Source organism: Homo sapiens (genome assembly GCF_000001405.40).
Source record: "Homo sapiens chromosome 9 unlocalized genomic scaffold, GRCh38.p14 Primary Assembly HSCHR9_UNLOCALIZED_CTG3".
Taxonomy (NCBI): Eukaryota; Metazoa; Chordata; class Mammalia; order Primates; family Hominidae; genus Homo; species Homo sapiens.
The window spans coordinates 153,257-170,334 of record NT_187374.1 but is presented as its reverse complement, the minus strand read 5'-3'; the positions used below and the strand labels follow the sequence as shown (position 1 = coordinate 170,334).

The 17,078-nt window shown below is 39.1% G+C and overlaps 1 protein-coding gene and 1 pseudogene across 1 annotated transcript; both read left to right on the top strand.

The window, feature by feature from the left end:
- Positions 1 to 6,708: 6,708 nt before the first annotated feature.
- On the top strand, positions 6,709 to 7,749 carry LOC107987371 (cyclin-dependent kinase 2-associated protein 2-like). Its single transcript, XM_047442797.1, has one exon. It carries the CDS (start codon positions 6,783 to 6,785, stop codon positions 7,110 to 7,112), a length of 330 nt encoding a protein of 109 aa, XP_047298753.1. The 5' UTR covers positions 6,709 to 6,782; the 3' UTR covers positions 7,113 to 7,749.
- A 430-nt stretch (positions 7,750 to 8,179) lies between these two features.
- On the top strand, positions 8,180 to 16,043 carry LOC102724787 (unconventional myosin-Vb-like; annotated as a pseudogene).
- Positions 16,044 to 17,078: the final 1,035 nt, after the last annotated feature.

The following is a 17,078-nucleotide window of genomic DNA, read 5'->3' as shown; positions in this document are numbered from 1 at the left end:
ATGGGCACTCGGCAGTCACCCGTGTGGGGTTGAGCGGCGGGTTCTCAGTTCTCGCTCCTGTGCAGCCGCCGCCGCCGGCCAGAATGCCTGGCTTGGCCGCAGCCACTGGGACACCTGGCCCTGGTTCTGCGATGCTGGCAGCGCGAGCGGGCTCGGGGGTTGCCAGGCAGCTGCTGCTGCACACAGAGGGCGACTGCAGCTTGTGCGCCCAGTCGGCGGAGCATGGTCTGGGTGGCCACTGGAATGCGTGCGCTCGAGGCCTGAGGGACCCGCTGTTGGTGCCACCTGCCCTGCTCTGCGCCTCTCCGCGCCTGCGCCGGCGCCCTGCGCCCCCTCCGCGCCTGCGCCGGCGGTCTGCGCCTCTCTGCCTTTGCGAAGGGCGCTCTGCCTTTGCGAAGGGCGCTCTCCCTTTGCGAGGGCAGAGGTGCCTTCTCGTCAGCACAGACCGGGAGAGCATCGCGAGGGCGGAGCTGAGTTCTCCTCTGCACAGACTTCGGAGATACAGCGAAGGCGGAGCAGTGTTCTCCTCAGCACAGACCCGGGCGGGCGCGCCGGGGGCACCGCGAGGGCGGAGCTGCGTTCTGCTCAGCACACACCCGGGGGACACCGCGAAGGCAGAGCAGCGTTCTCAGCACAGACCTTGGGGGCACTGCCTCGCTTTGGGACTACTCGGGACCGCATAGACGGTGAATAAAATCCTTCCTGTTTGCAGCCCTTAATAATCAGGGTCAGAGACCAGTTAGAAGGATTCAGTGTGGAAAACGGGAAACCAAAAGCCCCTCTGAATCCTACCCACCGAGGTTCTCCCCGGCCAAGCCGAGGCGGCCGCAGTGCGAGATCCACACCGCAGCCTCGGAAGACAAATGCGGCATTCCTAATGCAGACATGACACCCAAAGTATGACACCCCCATTGCTCATGTAACAAGCACCTGTAATGCTAATGCACTGCCTCAATACAAAAATATTAATATAAGATCCGCAATCGCCTCGCTGCCGTGCAGTCCAAAGACAGCGATCATAATAATCAACATTGACATAGTCAATACAAACGTAGTAACGAACCTAGGGTTAAGGTTGGTGTTAGGGTTAGGGGTTAGGGGTTAAGTTTAGGGTTAGGGGTTGGAGATAGGGATTGGGGTCAGAGTTAGGGGTTAGGAGTCAACGTTTAGAGTTAGGGTTTAAGAGATGTTAGGGATTAGGGGTTAGGGTTGGGTTAGGGTGAGGGTTGGGGTTAGGGGTTAGGGTTGGGGATAGCGGTTAGGGTTTGGGTCAGGAGTTAGGGGTCAGGGTTAGGGGTCAGGGTCAGGGGTCAGGGTCAGGGGTCCCACTCTGCGATTTGTCTATTTACTCTGCTGACTGCTCCCTTTGCCATGCAAAAGCTCTTTAGTTTATTTAAGTCCCAGCTATTTATCTTTGTTTTTATTGCATTTGCATTTGGGTTTTTGGTCATGAAATCCTTGCCTATGCCAATGTCTAGAAGGGTTTATCCAGTGTTATCTTCTAGAATTTTTACAGTTCAGGAATTAGGTTTAAGTTCTTAATCCATCTTGAGTAGATTTTTGTATAAGGTGAGAGATGAGACTCCAGTTTTATTACCCTACATGTGGCTTGCCAATTATCCCAACGTCATGTGTTGAAAAGGGTGTCCTTTCCCCACTTTATGTTTTTGTTTGCTTTGTCGAAGATCAGTTGGCTGTAAGTATTTGGGTTAATTTCTGGGTTCTCTCTTCTGTTCCATTGGTCTATGTGCCTATTTTTAAACCAGTACCATGCTGTTTTGGTAACTATGGCCTTATTGTACAGTTTGAAATCAAGTAGTGTGATGCCTCCAGGTTTGTTCTTTTTGCTTAGCCTTGGTTCGGCTACATGGCACTCTTTTGGTTCCATATTAATTTTAGAATTTTTTTGTAATTCTGTGAGGGATGATGGTGGTATTCATATGGGGATTGCATTGAATTCGTAGATTGCCTTTAAAAGAATGGTAATTTTCACAATATTGGTTCTACCCATCCATGAGCATGGGGATGTGTTTCCATTTGTTTGTGTCATCTATGATTTCTTTTCTTTCTTGTTTTTTTTTTTTTTTTTTTTTTTTTCAGAGGTAGTTTCGCTCTTGTCGCTGAGGTGGGAGTGCAATGGTGTGATCTCGGCTCACTACAACTTCTGCCTCCCGGGTTCAAGCGATTCTCCTGCCTCAGTTTCCCGAGTAGCTGGGATTATAGGCATGCGCCAACGTGCTTGGCTCCATCTATGATTTCTTTCAGCAGTGTTTTGTAATTTTCATTGTAGAGGTCTTTTGATTACTTTGCTAGGTATATTCCTAAGTTTTGTTTGTTTTTTTGTTTGTTTTTTGCAGCTATTGTAAAAGGGGTTGAGTTCCTGATGTGATTCTCAGCTTGGTAGCTGTTGATGTATAGAAGAGCTACTGATTTGTGTACATTAATCTCGTATCTGGAAACTTTGCTGAATTCTTTTGTCAGTTCTAGGAGCTTTCTAGAGGAGTCCGTAGGGTTTTCAAGGCGAAAGATCATATCGTCAGCAACCAGTAACAGTTTGACTTCCTCTTTACGATTTGGATTTCCTCTATTTCCTTCTTTTGTCTGATTGCTCTGGCTAGGACTTCCAGTACTATGTTGAAGAGGAGTGGTGAGAGTAGGCTCTTCGTCTTGTTCCAGTTCTCAAAGGGAATGCTTTCACCTTTTCCCCATTCAGTATTATGTTGGCTGTGGGTCTGTCATAGATGGCTTTTATTACATTAAGGTATGTCCCTTGTATGCCTATTTTGCTGAGAGCTTTAATCATAAAGCAATGCTAGATTTTGTCAAATGCTTTTTCTGCATCTGTTGATAAAATCATGTGTTTTTTTTTAATTCTGTTTATTTGGTGTATCACATTTATTGACTTGCATATGTTAAACCATTCCTGTGTCACTGGTATGAAACCCACTTGATCATGGTGGATTATCTCTTTGATATATTGTTGGATTCAGTTAGATAGTATTTTGTTAAGGATTTTGGCATCTGTGTTCATCATGGATATTGGTCTGTAGTTTTCTTTTTTGGTTATGTCCTTTCATGGTTTTGGTATTAGGGTGATGCTGGCTTCATAGAATGAATCAGGGAGTGTTTCTTCTTTCTCTGTCTTGTGGAATAGTGTGAAAGGATTGGTATCATTTCTTCTTTGAATGAAATAAAATATTCTTTGAATGTCTGGTAGAATTCTGCTGTGAATCTGTCTGGTCCTCGGCATTTTTTGTTGGTAATTTTAAAATTACCATTTCAATCTTGCTGCTTGCTTTATTGGTCTGCTTGGGGTATCTACTTCTTCCTGATTTAAGCTAGGAGGGTTGTATTTTTCCAGGAATTTATGCAACTCTTCTGGGTTTTCTAGTTTATGTGCCAAAAGGTGTTCATAGTACCCTTGAATAATCTTTAATATTTCAGTGGTGTCAGTTGTAATATCCCCTGTTTCATTTCTTAGTGAGGTTATTTGGATTTCCTCTCTTCTTTTCTTGGTTAATCTTATAATGGTCTATCGATTTTGTTTATCTTTTCAAATAACCAACTTTTTATTTTATTCATGTTTTGTATTTGTTGTTGTTGTTGTTGCTGTGTCAATTTCATTTAGTTCTGCTCTAATCTTGGTTATTTCCTTTGTTTGCTGGGATTGGGTTTGGCTTGTTCCTGCTTCTCCAGTTCCCTGAGATGTGAACTTAGATTGTCTGTTTGTGCTCTTTCACACTTTTTGACATAGGTGTTTAGGGCTACAAACTTTCCTCTTAGCACTGCCTTTCCTGTATCCCAGAGGTCTTGATAGGTTGTGTCATCCAGTTCGAAGAAATTTTTTCCATTTCCATCTTGATTTTGTTTTTTACCCAGTGCTCATTCAGGAGCAGGTTATTTAATTTCCATGTATTTGCATGGTTTTGAAGATTCCTTTTGGAGTTGATTTTCAGTTTTATTCCACTGTGATCTGAGAGGGTGCGTGATACAATTTCAATTTTCTTAAATTTATTGAGACTCATTTTATGGCCTATCATATGGTCTATCTTGGAGAAAATTCCATGTGCTGTTGAATAGAATGTGTATTCTGTGGTTGTTGGATGAAATGTTCTTATATATCTGTTAAGTCCATTTGTTCCAAAGTATAGTTTAAATCCAGTGTTTCTTTGTTGACTTTCTGTCTTGATGACTGACAGGTGCTGTCAGTGGAGTAATGAAGTTCCCTCACTATTATTGTGTTGCTATCTATCTTATTTCTTATGTTTACTAGTGATTGTTTTATAAATTTGGGAGCTCCAGTGTTAGCTTCATGTATGTTTAGGATTGTCATGTTTTTCTGTTGAATGAGACCTTTACCATTATATACTGTCTGTCTTTGTCTCTTTTAGCTACTGTTGCTTTAAAGTTTGTTTTGTCTCATATGAGAATAGCTACTGCTGCTTGCTTTTTGTGTCAGTTTGCATGAAATGCCTTTTTCTGCCACTTTCCTTAAGTTTATGTAGGTCATTATGTGTTAGGTGAGTCTCCTGAAGGCAGCAGATAGTTAGTTGGTGAGTTATTATCCATTCTGTGGTTCTGTATCTTGTAAGTGGAGCATTGAAGCCATTTACAACCAACATTAGTATTAAAAAGTGAGGTACCATTTCTTTCATCATGCTCTCTGTTGCCTCTGTACTTTGTTTTTGTTTTTTGTTTTTGCTTTTTAACTTGTATTTTTGTTTTATAGGTCTTGTGTGATTTATGCTTTAATGAAGTTCTGTTTTGATGTGTTTCCAGGGTTTGTTTCATGATTTAGAGCTCCTTTTAGCAGTTCTTACAGTGCTGGTTTGGTAATGGCAAATTCTGTCAGCATTTGTTTGTCTGAAAATGACTGTATCTTTCTTTCATATATGATGTTTAGTTTTGCTGGATACATAATTCTTGGCTGATAATTGTTTTGTTTGAGGAGGCTGAAGAAAGGGCCCCAATCCCATCTAGCTTTTAAGGTTTCTGCTGCAAAATCTGCTGTTAGTTTGATAGGTTTTCCTTTATAGGTTACCTAGTGCTTCTGTCTCACAGCTCTTAAGATTCTTTCTTTTGTCTTAACTTTGGATAACCCAATGACAATGTGCCTAGGCTAAGATATTTTTGTGATGAATTTCCCAGGTGTTATTTGTGCTTCTTTTATTTGGATGTCTAGGTCTCTCACAAGGCCACAGAAGTTTTCCTTGATTATTCCCCCAAATATGTTTTCCTAGCTTTTAGAATTCACTTCTTCCTCAGGTACACCAATTAGTCTTAGGTTTCATTGTCTTAGGCCCCACCACTGGGGCCGCTACACGTGACATGGGATGTGGGCCATCGGGCAAAGGGTGCGGAGATGGGGCGCTGCCAGGGGAGCCAAGGAGGAAAGAGAGCGCTTTCCAAATTGTCTTCCAGGGTTTCAATGTGCATTTTATTAACTCAGAATCTGTCGGGAATAATACTAGGGCGCTACCTTTCCCTGGAGATAGGTCTTGTCAGTGGAGTGAGATAGGCTGGGGGGAGGAAGAGGAATGAGAGACTCAGTTTATAAATATTAAGATCAGCAAGGGTGTGCTGCTGGCAGGAGCAGAGGGAGCCTAGAGATTTGGGTGGCTGCCGTTGGTAAGTGGTTGCAATCCAGAGAGTGGGATTGAGTTCCTCCCTTGTCATGTTAGCATCCCGTTTCCTGGGCGCGGGTCTAATGCCCTGCAGGTGGTCATTTCACTCATGGTGGCTTTGTCTCTCTTCTGCCATCTCCAGACTCAGCTTCACACTCCAGGGCTGTGTACCACCAGCCACTGTCATGTTAACCCCTTCCCAGGCCAGTGTGTCCTTGGCCTGGAGCCCAATCTGCTGGACAGCCTGGGACCGTCCATTTTCGGGGTGGTGGGCAACCTGGTGGCCATCGTGGTGCTGTGCAAGTCGCGCAAGGAGCAGAAGGAGACCACCTTCTACACAGTTATGCGGCTGACTGCCACCGACCTGTTGTTCACTTTGCTGGTGAGCCAGGTGACCATCGCCATGTACACGAAGGGCGGGTAACCTGGGGGCCAGCTGCTGTGTGAGTACAGCATCTTCAGCCTGTTCTTCTTCAGTCAGTCCGGCCTCAGCATCGTCTGTGCCGTGATACCTATACAGGTAATTTGTGTTAGACATTCTTAGAAGAGTTTCAAAAGTTTTATGTTTTTATCTGGGTTATAAACAGAGTCCTCAAATGCACACAAAGGAAATCATGCCATGATTGAATTTCAGCAGGAATAAGTTTATTTTACCTATACAAAATTAAAATACTTTTGTTGTGTTTGAAAATGTGTTTTAAAGATATGTTTTTGAAAAAAGTTTAAGTAAATATTTAATCATGTCCCCTTTTCTATCCCAAGAAATAATTTCATATATAGTTTATTTAAATTTTTTAACAAAAATGTAGCATAATTTTTTTAAATTGTATATTTTATTTAACCCAATATATATACAAAATATTGGGTCAATATGTAATCAATATAAAAATTATTAGAGATAGTTTGCGTTCTTTTTTCATATGAAATCTTTGAAATCCATTGTGTATTTTAAATTTTAGGATGTCTCAACTCAAATGTGAAATTTTCATGGAGAATATTTGAACTGTATTTAGATTAATACAAATTGCAGTTAAAAAGTTTAATATAGATTTACCAGGGGGTGTGCAGCCCACTTGCCAATCAGATCGCTGCTGAGCGGTCCCGCAGCCAACCCCCGAAGAGCAGCCTGCTGGCTTCCCCAGTGCCCAGGAGTTGGGGATGTCCTACAAACCTACCACACCTGCCCCCAGCAGCACCCCCGGCTCCAGCACCCCTGGGCCAGGCACTCTGGTCCCTACAGGAAGCGTCCCGTCACCGTCGGGCTCAGGGCCGGGAGCCACTGCCCCTTTCAGACCGCTGTTTAAAGACTTTGGACCGCCTACCATCGGTTGTGTGCAGGCCATGAAACCACCTGGTGCCCAGGGCTCCCAGAGTACCTACACGGAACTGCTGTTGGTCACAGGGGAGATGGGCAAAGTGATCCGGCCCACCTATGCTGGCAGCAAGAGCGCTGCGGAGCGCCTGAAGAGAGGTATCATCCATCCCTAGTCAGAGTGCCTGGTAGAGACAGAGCGGAACGCCCACACTTAACAGGAAGTTCCTAGGCCTCTGTGTCTGGACTCCAGAGCACCTGCTTCTCCCTGGCCTTCATCCCTAGTTGCACTAACCATCCTGGGCTTCCTATCCTGTGTCCCTTGATGGGTGCCCTCCAGGAACCAAGGGGCGGTTCTCACTCCAGGTGGCAGCACTAAGGACCCCCCTCCCCACCCCACCCCGCCAACGCAACAAGAGTTAGCAACGAGGTCCCCGTGAGTCCCACCCATGACCTGCCGACAGTGTTGCCCACTGGAACTTTCTGTGGCCCCCACCACTCAGCCCTTCCCAGCACTTGTCCGGAGCCTCCTTGTCCCTCAGCACAGCTCAGGCCTCAGGCCTGACACTTCCCTGCCTTGTGTCTTTTGCTAAATATGACCTTTCTATATTAATAAAAGATGCTTTGGAGTTGTGCTCTCTAAAAAAAAGTTTAATATAAAGGAGAAATAAAAGGAAATTTAGCAAAGAAATATGTAGATGAATATTTAAATACTCAGAGGTGACATTACTACCAGACATAATGAGATTATCAGATGTTTCATTTACTTATGATTAATATGTTTGTATTTATTTTTTATTCATTTTATTTTATGTATTTATTTATTTTTATTATACTTTAAGTTCTAGGGTACATGTGCACAACGTGCAGGTTTGTTACATATGTATACATGTGCTGTGTTGGTTTGCTGCACCCATTAACTTGTCATTTACATTAGGTATTTATTTTAAGGCTGTTAAAGCTGTAGTCAATTTTCTCACTTTGATCTTCCAAAGGAACCTGCTGTATCTTTTTCATTCTGTGCAAAATAGGCATTTTAGGATCCACTCAATGCTAAAGTCATTGAGTAGCTACAGACTTGCTATTTGTTTCTCCATTGTTATATTTTCATAGTTTTAGAATCTGAGCAGCATTTAATTTGTCTATGCTTTATATTTTCCTTTAGAGAAAGAACACAGTGATACTTGCTCATAGTGTTAGAGGAATAATCCCAAAGAGAGAAATTATTCTTCGAATATCCACCATGACTGAATACTTAGCAATACTGAAACCTACTTATAAAACAAAACAGAAAACCTCCAAAAAACCAAATAAACAACAACAAAACTTAAAACCAAAAAAGTACTGGAAGTCTCAGAAGTATTTAGCAGTTATTCTTGCTCCTTCAAATGAAAAGATGCTTTATCGTATCCTCTATGGAGAGAATTCTGACTATTTATCAAAGACCTTACATTTATTCACCTTTTGCCCTAACAATTTCATAACTTAAAAATACATACAACAATTTACAATATAGCATTTTTTGTAAAGGGAAATAATCAGAAAGAATCTAAGTGTTCAACAATAGGGCACTTGTTGAATTATGATACAATCACTCAATAAGGTCTTCATAGAGCCCATTAAAATGATGTTATTGATATCTATTTATTAATAGGAGAAATCATTTAGAATTTTTGGTTAAGACCTTTAACTAAGCACAAAGTCTATGAAATAATGTGCACAACATTCCATATTTTCATAAGGGGAATGACTTTTAAAACTACCCTGCAATCGTCTCATTTTACACAAATGTCTAGGCAGGTTTGTTACCCGGGTATATTGTGCCATGCTGAGGTTTGGGGTATGACTGATCTCATCATGCAGATATGAAGCTTAGTACCCTGTAGTTTTTCAACCCTGGCTGCCCTCTCTACTGCCTCTACTAGTCTCCATTGTCTATTACAGTCATCTTTTCTTTTTTTTAAAAAAAATCTGTTTTTCTGATTTTTTTATTAGGTAAAAAATGGAAAAACAAAATATAATTTTCATTCAATACATATTTCATCCTTATGCGTTATTTTTTCAGAAAGTGAAGTCCATTTAGAATGATAGCAGTGCATCAACCAAATAATTCATCTTCACATAGTTTCAATAACTCCAGAAATTTTCTTCATCTCTCTCTCTGTAGAAATTCTCAAACTGTGGAATGGTCATCTTTATCGTCATAAATACTGTCATCTTTATGTCCAAGAGCATCCAACATTTAGGTACCAAACTACTACCCAAATCTGATTAATTGATCATGTTGATTCTGTCACATTCTACTTGTCATATCAGATTTTTATTAAAGAAATCATTAGCTTATCTATTATTGTTACTGGGGCTGTAAGAAAATTTTATAATTCATTTGGATCAATCCTCTTCTTTATGGTCTTATTTGAGAATAAAACTTGGTTCTGTCTTAGCCTGTCATTTAATAAGCCAGTGACCTGGGGCAAATCTAACTGCTTCATCTGTAAACTATGAATAATAATAGAGTCCCTCTGCCTGTCACACATGGGTATAGTAAGGTTCCATTTTAAAAATGGCTCTTATTATGTTACCTGAAAGGCATTCTATAATGATGAGTGGCAAGGTGGTCTTAGCAACAGTGCAGTGAAAATTGGGACCATTTTCTGTCGCTATCATTTCTATTTTTGTGATACCCTCTTTAAATTAGTCTTAGGATGTAATGCAAAGGAGTGATGTAATTGGAATTTTCTTCTTTTTTTTTTTTTTTTTTTTTTTTTGAGACAGAGTTTCCCTCTGTCGCCCAGGTTGGAGTGCAGTGGTGCAATCTGGGCGCACCGCAAGCTCCGCCTCCTGGGTTCACGCCGTTCTCCTGCCTCAGCCTTGTGAGTAGCTGAGACTACAGGCGCCCGCCACCGCACCTGTCTAATTTTTTGTATGTTTGGTTGAGACGGGGTTTCACCATGTTACCCAGGATGGCCTCGATCTCCTGACCTCGTGATCCGCCCATCTCGGCCTCCCAAAGTGCCGGGATTACAGGCGTGAACCACCGCGACCGGCCCATAATTGGAAATTTTTGTACTGTTAGATCTAAGAGTATTTTATGTGGTATAATAAAAGATTAATTTAGTGAACCTCATTAGATAATTAGCATGGAATATATTATGCACTGCCATGCAGGGGCCTAAGAGAATGGTCCACACGTCTTGCGAAGTTGATATGAAGACAGGCAACAAGACAGTCTAGCTGAGTAAAAGTCTGTAGACATCTCTAAGGAGGAGTGGTTAGAGAATGCCCTGACTGTGGATAGCTGGCATATTTTACCCCAGAAAGAAGAGCACAGAGTGGCAGAGAGTACTTGAGATTTAAATAAGAAAAGAGGATGAAAAAATTACTTTCACTAATTATAAATTTTCTCAAGAATGGACTTATTCTCTATTTTCTATTGCCTCTTGAGAAATCATTATTTTTCATTCAGCCAACATAATTATTAAGACTAATTGTGGAGGGTATTCAAAATGGAAAAACAGCGGTCCCTAGGATTATATTTTATTTATGAATGATCACTCATTTGTAACTTTTCCTTCAGTTAGATGTTTTTTAATACAAAAATACCTTTTTAGCACCAGTACAATTTGTGAAACGAAATGTGAAATTCAGGCATATATGTAATTTTATGTGTAAAATATTCCATTTTTTTCTGTTAATGAAGTAAGTATGTTTAACATGAGATATATCCTCTTAATAAATGTTTAACTGTGCAATACAATCTTGTTAACTATAGGTGCTCTGTTGACAGCAGACCTCTAGAACTTATTCATCTGTTATAACTGAATTTTATACCCATTGAACAGCAACCTCCATTTCCCCTCCTTCCAGACCCTGGCAACCAGTATTCTACTCTATTTCTGGGAGTTTAACTATTGTAGATATCTTACGTAAGTGGAATCAGGCAGTATTAAAACATACTTTCAATTAGTAATGACTATAATTCGGATAATTTAAATAAGAGAAAGCAAATATCACTACTACTAGTTTTTGGGGGAAAATATTACAAATAGGGATATTGTGATAAAAGTGTACAATATTTTTTACATTTGTGCACTTAGATCCGTGTTCAAACTTTGCCACCTATACATGTATAGCACATTTAAATATGTGCTACAGTATGCCATTTATAAAGACTGAAAATAACATTTTATAAAACATTATTATTTATTTAGCAACCTCATGAGCTTTGGCTTCAAAAATACCTGATTTACAAAGCATAATCCTAGTGCTGGAGAACAGATCAGTGGCTGCCAAAGGTTAGGGTTGGTTGGAAGATGTGATTAGTGAGGGATAACGTGAAAACATGTACTTTCTTTGTGGTGATAGAGCAGTTCTGCATCCAGATTATGGTGATGGTTACATAAATCCACACTTCATAGACCTATACACACACATCACACATACACTCACACACACCTACACAAGAGTACATGTAAAATCCTTGGAAATATGAATAGGGTCTGAACTGGAGTTAATGGTATGGAAACAATGTCAATTTCCTGATTTGGCAAAGTACTAGGTTAAGTTAGATATAATTACTGGGGAAAGTTGGCTGAAAATAAGACGGTCATTCTTTTTACTATTTTTTAACTTCTTGTGAGTAAAATTATTTAAAAATAATTGGTATTAAAGACAAAAAATCTAAAATTTCTAAAATCAAAGCCCTTATGAATTTAAACATATTATTTGATTTATTTTGTAGACCTTGATTTCTTCACCTGTAAAAATGGAATGATAGTAGAATTTCTATCTCATTATTGTCATGCTTAAACCATACCATTTATGTAAGTGCCCAGTACTGTGTCTGGTGAACAATAATGCTTAAACACTGAGTTCCCCACTTTTTTATGGCTGTTGGTTTACAGGTGGTTTTTAAGTTCCTAAGTGGAAGTTTGTTTAAAAAGAGGCAGTCAAAATAAACAGCAATGTCTCAGAGCATCATCTGAACAAGAAAGGAAGGTGTTCTCCATCCCTTGAAATGGTCTCAGTCCTCTTTTATTGTTTAGCTCTCATGTGAGTCTTCACAAATAACCTCAAGAATTGCTACATCACCAACAGAGAATTAACTCTCATTGAGTTTTTAGCTCAGTAGATTCTGGGTCCTAAAATTTATGGACTCACCTGCTTTTTAAATTTTTCCCATTTAGAAATATTCAATTTAAATCTTCCTTCAGTAAGTAATTGTTAACTATTAACAATCCTAACATTATAATAAAGTCAGAAGTAACATTTATTACTTTTGTTTTCCACTCATACTGCTTGCAGTCCATAAGCATACAGCATTTTTGTCTTTCCAAATATCTAAAGGAAGATAATCAAAATCAAAACTAAGAAATCCTTCTCTGAAGTCATATCTCTCTAACTAGATTGTATATTTATTGAGGGTGATGACTATATTTTCTTTTCCAGGAGAACAAAACAAATACAAGGTTGGGATGAATTTAATTTAGTGGGGGATGGAGAGGGGAAGGAGTCAAGTTTCTTCATCCTTTTCCATGCTTTGATAACTTTATCTGTGAGATCCTAGTTAAAAGAACATGACTATCTAAAGAAGTAAGTGCTTGAAAGGCCCACTGTATTAGGAGATCAGGAATTGTTAGCTTGAAAAGACATAAATGGAAAGAAAACATAATACAGAGACAAAATACATGAAATTTGTATCGTGGTACACATGTGCTTTGTGATCATATTTCTGTGTCATAAACAAAAAAAAGTATAAAGCTTAACCAAGAGAAATTTAGGGCACATAGAAGCATTTACATGTTTTCATACTATGAGCTGGGGCTAAGGTGTCCTTTACCATGACAGTTGGTGAAGCATAAGAACAAATCAATTCACAAATGTTCTGGTAAATTCCAATTTCCGCACCTTAAATCATAGACCTAAGTCAGTCAAAGTCAGTCATATATATAGATATATGTGTGGGTGTGTATATATATATATATATATATATATATATATATATATATACACACACCCACATATATATGTATATATACATACATATATATATGTATATATACATACATATATATGTATATATACATACATATATATGTATGTATATATACATATATATATATACAGGCACCTACATAAGTGGTATGATTTAAGCATGACAATAATGAGATAGGAATCATACTATTATTCCATTTTTACAGGTGAAGAAATCAAGGTCTACAAAAGAAATCAAATCATATGTCCAAATTCATATGGGCTTTGATTTTTGAACTTTCAAATTTTTGTCTTTGCTTAATACCTTTTGTTTTAAAATAATTTGACTCATAAGAAGTTAAAAAAAGAAGTAAAATGAATGACCATGCTATTTTCAGGCAACTTTCCCCAATGATTATATCTAACTTAACCTAGTACGTTGCCAAAATCAGGAAATGGACATTGTTTCCATACCATTAACTCAGGTTCAGACCCTATTTATATTTCTAAGGATTTTACATGTACAGATGTGTTTGAATGTATGTGTGATGTGTGTATATAGATCTATGAAGTGTGGATTTATGTAACCATTACCATAATCTGGATGCAGAACTGCTCTATCACCACAAACAAAGTACATGTTTTCACATTAACCCTCACTAATCACATCTTCCAACCAACCCTAACCCTTGGCAGCTACTGTTCTGTTCTCCAGCACTGGGATTATGCTATGTAATTCAGGTATTTTTGAAACCAAGCTTATGAGGTTGCTAAATAAATAATAATGTTTATAAACTATTATTTTCAGTCTTTATAAATGGCATACTGTAGCACATATTCCAATGTGCTATACATGTATAGGTGAGCCAAAGTTTGAACATGGATCTAAGTGCACAAACATAAAAAATATTGTACACTTTTATCATAATATCTCTATTTGTAATCTTTTTCCCCAAATACTAGTAGTAGTGATGTTTGCTTTCTCTTATTTAAACTATCAGAATCTTTAAACTTTCTCTTATTTAAACTATAGTCATTACTAATTGAAAGTATGTTTGAATACTGCCTGATTCCACTTACACAAGATAGATATATATAGCAGTCATATCTATGTGTGTGTATATATTTATATATATGTCAGTCATATATATGTGTGTGTGTATATATTTATATATATATGTCAGTCATATATGTGTGTATATATTTATATATATCACATACACACATATATAGACGGAGTTAGGTCTATGATCTCTGTATATATTTATATACACACATGTGTATTTTTAAACTATTACATGAAGCAAATAGTACAGTTGATTTCATATAACAAGAGTAATAACTCTTGTTATGGATGTATATGGGCATGTATATGGATGTATGGGATGTATGGGCATGTATATGTATGCATGGGATGTATATGGATGTATATGGGCAAAAGTTAATGCATATGGGCAAATAAATTGATGAACTTACAGACTCATTTATTTGACATATATTTATTGTGTGGTCTCTATTGAATGCAGGGTATCTTCCAGGAGCCTAAAATTCAGCAGTGAACGTAATAGGCTCAAATCCTTGTACTCAAGTAGCTAATATTCTAATCGAGGGAGAAGACAATAAACAAAGTTAATAAGCAAAATATTCAACATACTAGTTGATAGGAAGTTCTGTGGTGAAAAATAAAGTAAGAGGAAAAGAATGAGAGGAAGCTCTAAAAGCAACTGAAGATTTACGTGAAGAAGCTGCCCAGGCGTTGGCCCAGAGTGACAGGAAGTGCCATGAGTTCAACAGGCAGGTCACAGTTCAGTGGAAAGAAAAGGATTTCCAGGGCATGTTGAAGTGCCACAAAGAGGGCGAGGCCCTCCTCATCCTCAACCTGGTGACAGACTTGAAGCCCCAGATGCTGTTGGACACAGTGCCCTGTATCCCCGCCTACATCCTCTACATGTGCATCCGGCTCGCGGACCAAACCAATGATGATCTCAAGGTGCACTCCCTGATGACCTCCACCACCAACGGCATTAAGGAAGTCCTGAAGAAGCACAGTGATGACTTTGAGATGACGTCATTCTTGTTATCCAACACCTGCCACCTTCTTCACTGTCTGAAGCGGTACAGCGGGGATGAGGGCTTCATGACTCAGAATACTGCAAAGCACAACGAACACTGCCTTAAGAACTTTGACCTCACCGAATACCGTCAGGTACTGAGCGACCTTTCCATTCAGATCTACCAGCACCTCTTTAAAATTGCCGAGGGTGTGTTACAGCCGATGATAGTTTCTGCCATGTTGGAAAATTAGAGCATTCAGGGTCTATCTGGTGTGAAGCCCACTGGCTCCCAGAAGCACTCCTCCAGCATGGCAGATGAGGATAACTCATACCGCCTGGAAGCTATCATCCGCCAGATGAATGCCTTTCATACAGTCATGTGTGACCAGGGCTTGGACCCTGAGATCATCCTGTAGGTATTCAAACAGCTCTTCTACATGATCAACGCAGTGACTCTTAATGACCTGCTCCTGCGGAAGGACGTCTGCTCTTGGAGCACAGGCATGCAACTCAGGTACAATATAAGTCAGCTTGAGGAGTGGCTTTGGGGAAGAAACCTTCACCAGAGTGGAGTAGTTCAGACCATGGAACCTCTGATCGAAGCAGCCCAGCTCCTGCAATTAAAGAAGAAAACCCAGGAGGATGCAGAGGCCATCTGCTCCCTGTGTGCCTCTCTCAGCACCCAGCAGATTGTCCAAATTTTAAACCTTTAGCCTCCCCTGAATGAATTTGAAGAACAGGTAACAGTGGCCTTTATACAAACGATCCAGGCACAACTACAAGAGCAGAATGACCCTCAGCAACTGCTATTAGATGCCAAGCACATGTTTCCTGTTTTGTTTCCATTTTATCCATCTTCCCTAACCATGGAGTCAATCCCAGCATGTCTCAATCTGGAGTTCCTCAATGAAGTAGATGCATGTTTAGTGTGATTCCCAATGTGAGCAAAAAGGAAGCGTAGACAGTAAAGTAAATTCAAGGATCTGTTAAATCTGGTAAAAGTAGATCAAATCAGAGATTGACAGCCTGTGGAGAGTGCTGAACTATACAGAATTAGACACAACTATGGCATTATTTTTTGTAAGTACTGCTCAGAATAAAAACACTTGAAATGTGGAACATTTTAAGTTTGATTTCAGTCCAACAAATATACATTATAATTTATAGACACCAAGCAGTCCCCATAGCCATATAAAAGATGCCAATTCTGTAAAATGAAGCTGCTGAGTTTTAATCTTTGCATATAACTGGAGAATGTCCAGATTAAAATACTAACTATATATAAGTCACATAAATTGCCTTCAAAGTGCTTTTAACAAATAATAGTACTAATAACCATGATAATGGCATATACTGACATTTCCCAAAGTTTGCAAACCATAGGTGTGGTAGAGTTTGTGGTGAGATGTGTTAAGAACAAAAATATGGGGATGAGACTTCTGAGAAATGTCCCCAAAATATTTTTTAATGGCTGATTATACAAAGACAGCAGTGTAACTGACCTCCAAACCAGACATTTTGAGTACTGGTTTCTGAAGCAAAATTAGAAGTGCCAGTCCTCAGTGTCCTCAAACGCTTTTGTGTAATCTTGGTTTAATGGAAGAGATGATTAAAATGCTGCTATCTGAAACTCCAAGTGAGAAATATGGAAAAATAATTTGTGTCTGATGCTAGTCCATACACTTTCCAAGTCCCACAAAACTCTCACAAAAATGTATATAAGCTAAATATTACAAAATGATAATAACTTGTTTTATTTATAGATGTGAAAACCAAACAATGTGAAAGCTTTTAATCTCTTAATACCATTAAGCCTCCAGTAAGAGCCTCATATAATGCTCTACTATTCCAAACAACTGAATAGTAAAACAAACTAACCTCGCACATCAGATTATCTGAAAAACCTTCAAAAATACTCAGTTCAGGGATTACTATTATACAAAAGTTTGGGTTTTTTTAAGAGAATAAAATGGCTTAGGTCAACTTTCCCCTTTCAGGTTATTTTCAACGTTTTTCAAACTTTGTAATTCAAAATTGTAAATATCTCTCCTATGAAATAAGGATTTTAAAAAAGAATAATTCAGTAACATAACAGGCGTAGATGTTTGCTGCTCT

Excerpts from the sequence above, each read along its gene's own strand:
- LOC107987371 (XM_047442797.1), top strand. The coding sequence starts at position 6,783 with ATGTCCTACAAACCTACCACACCTGCCCCCAGCAGCACCCCCGGCTCC.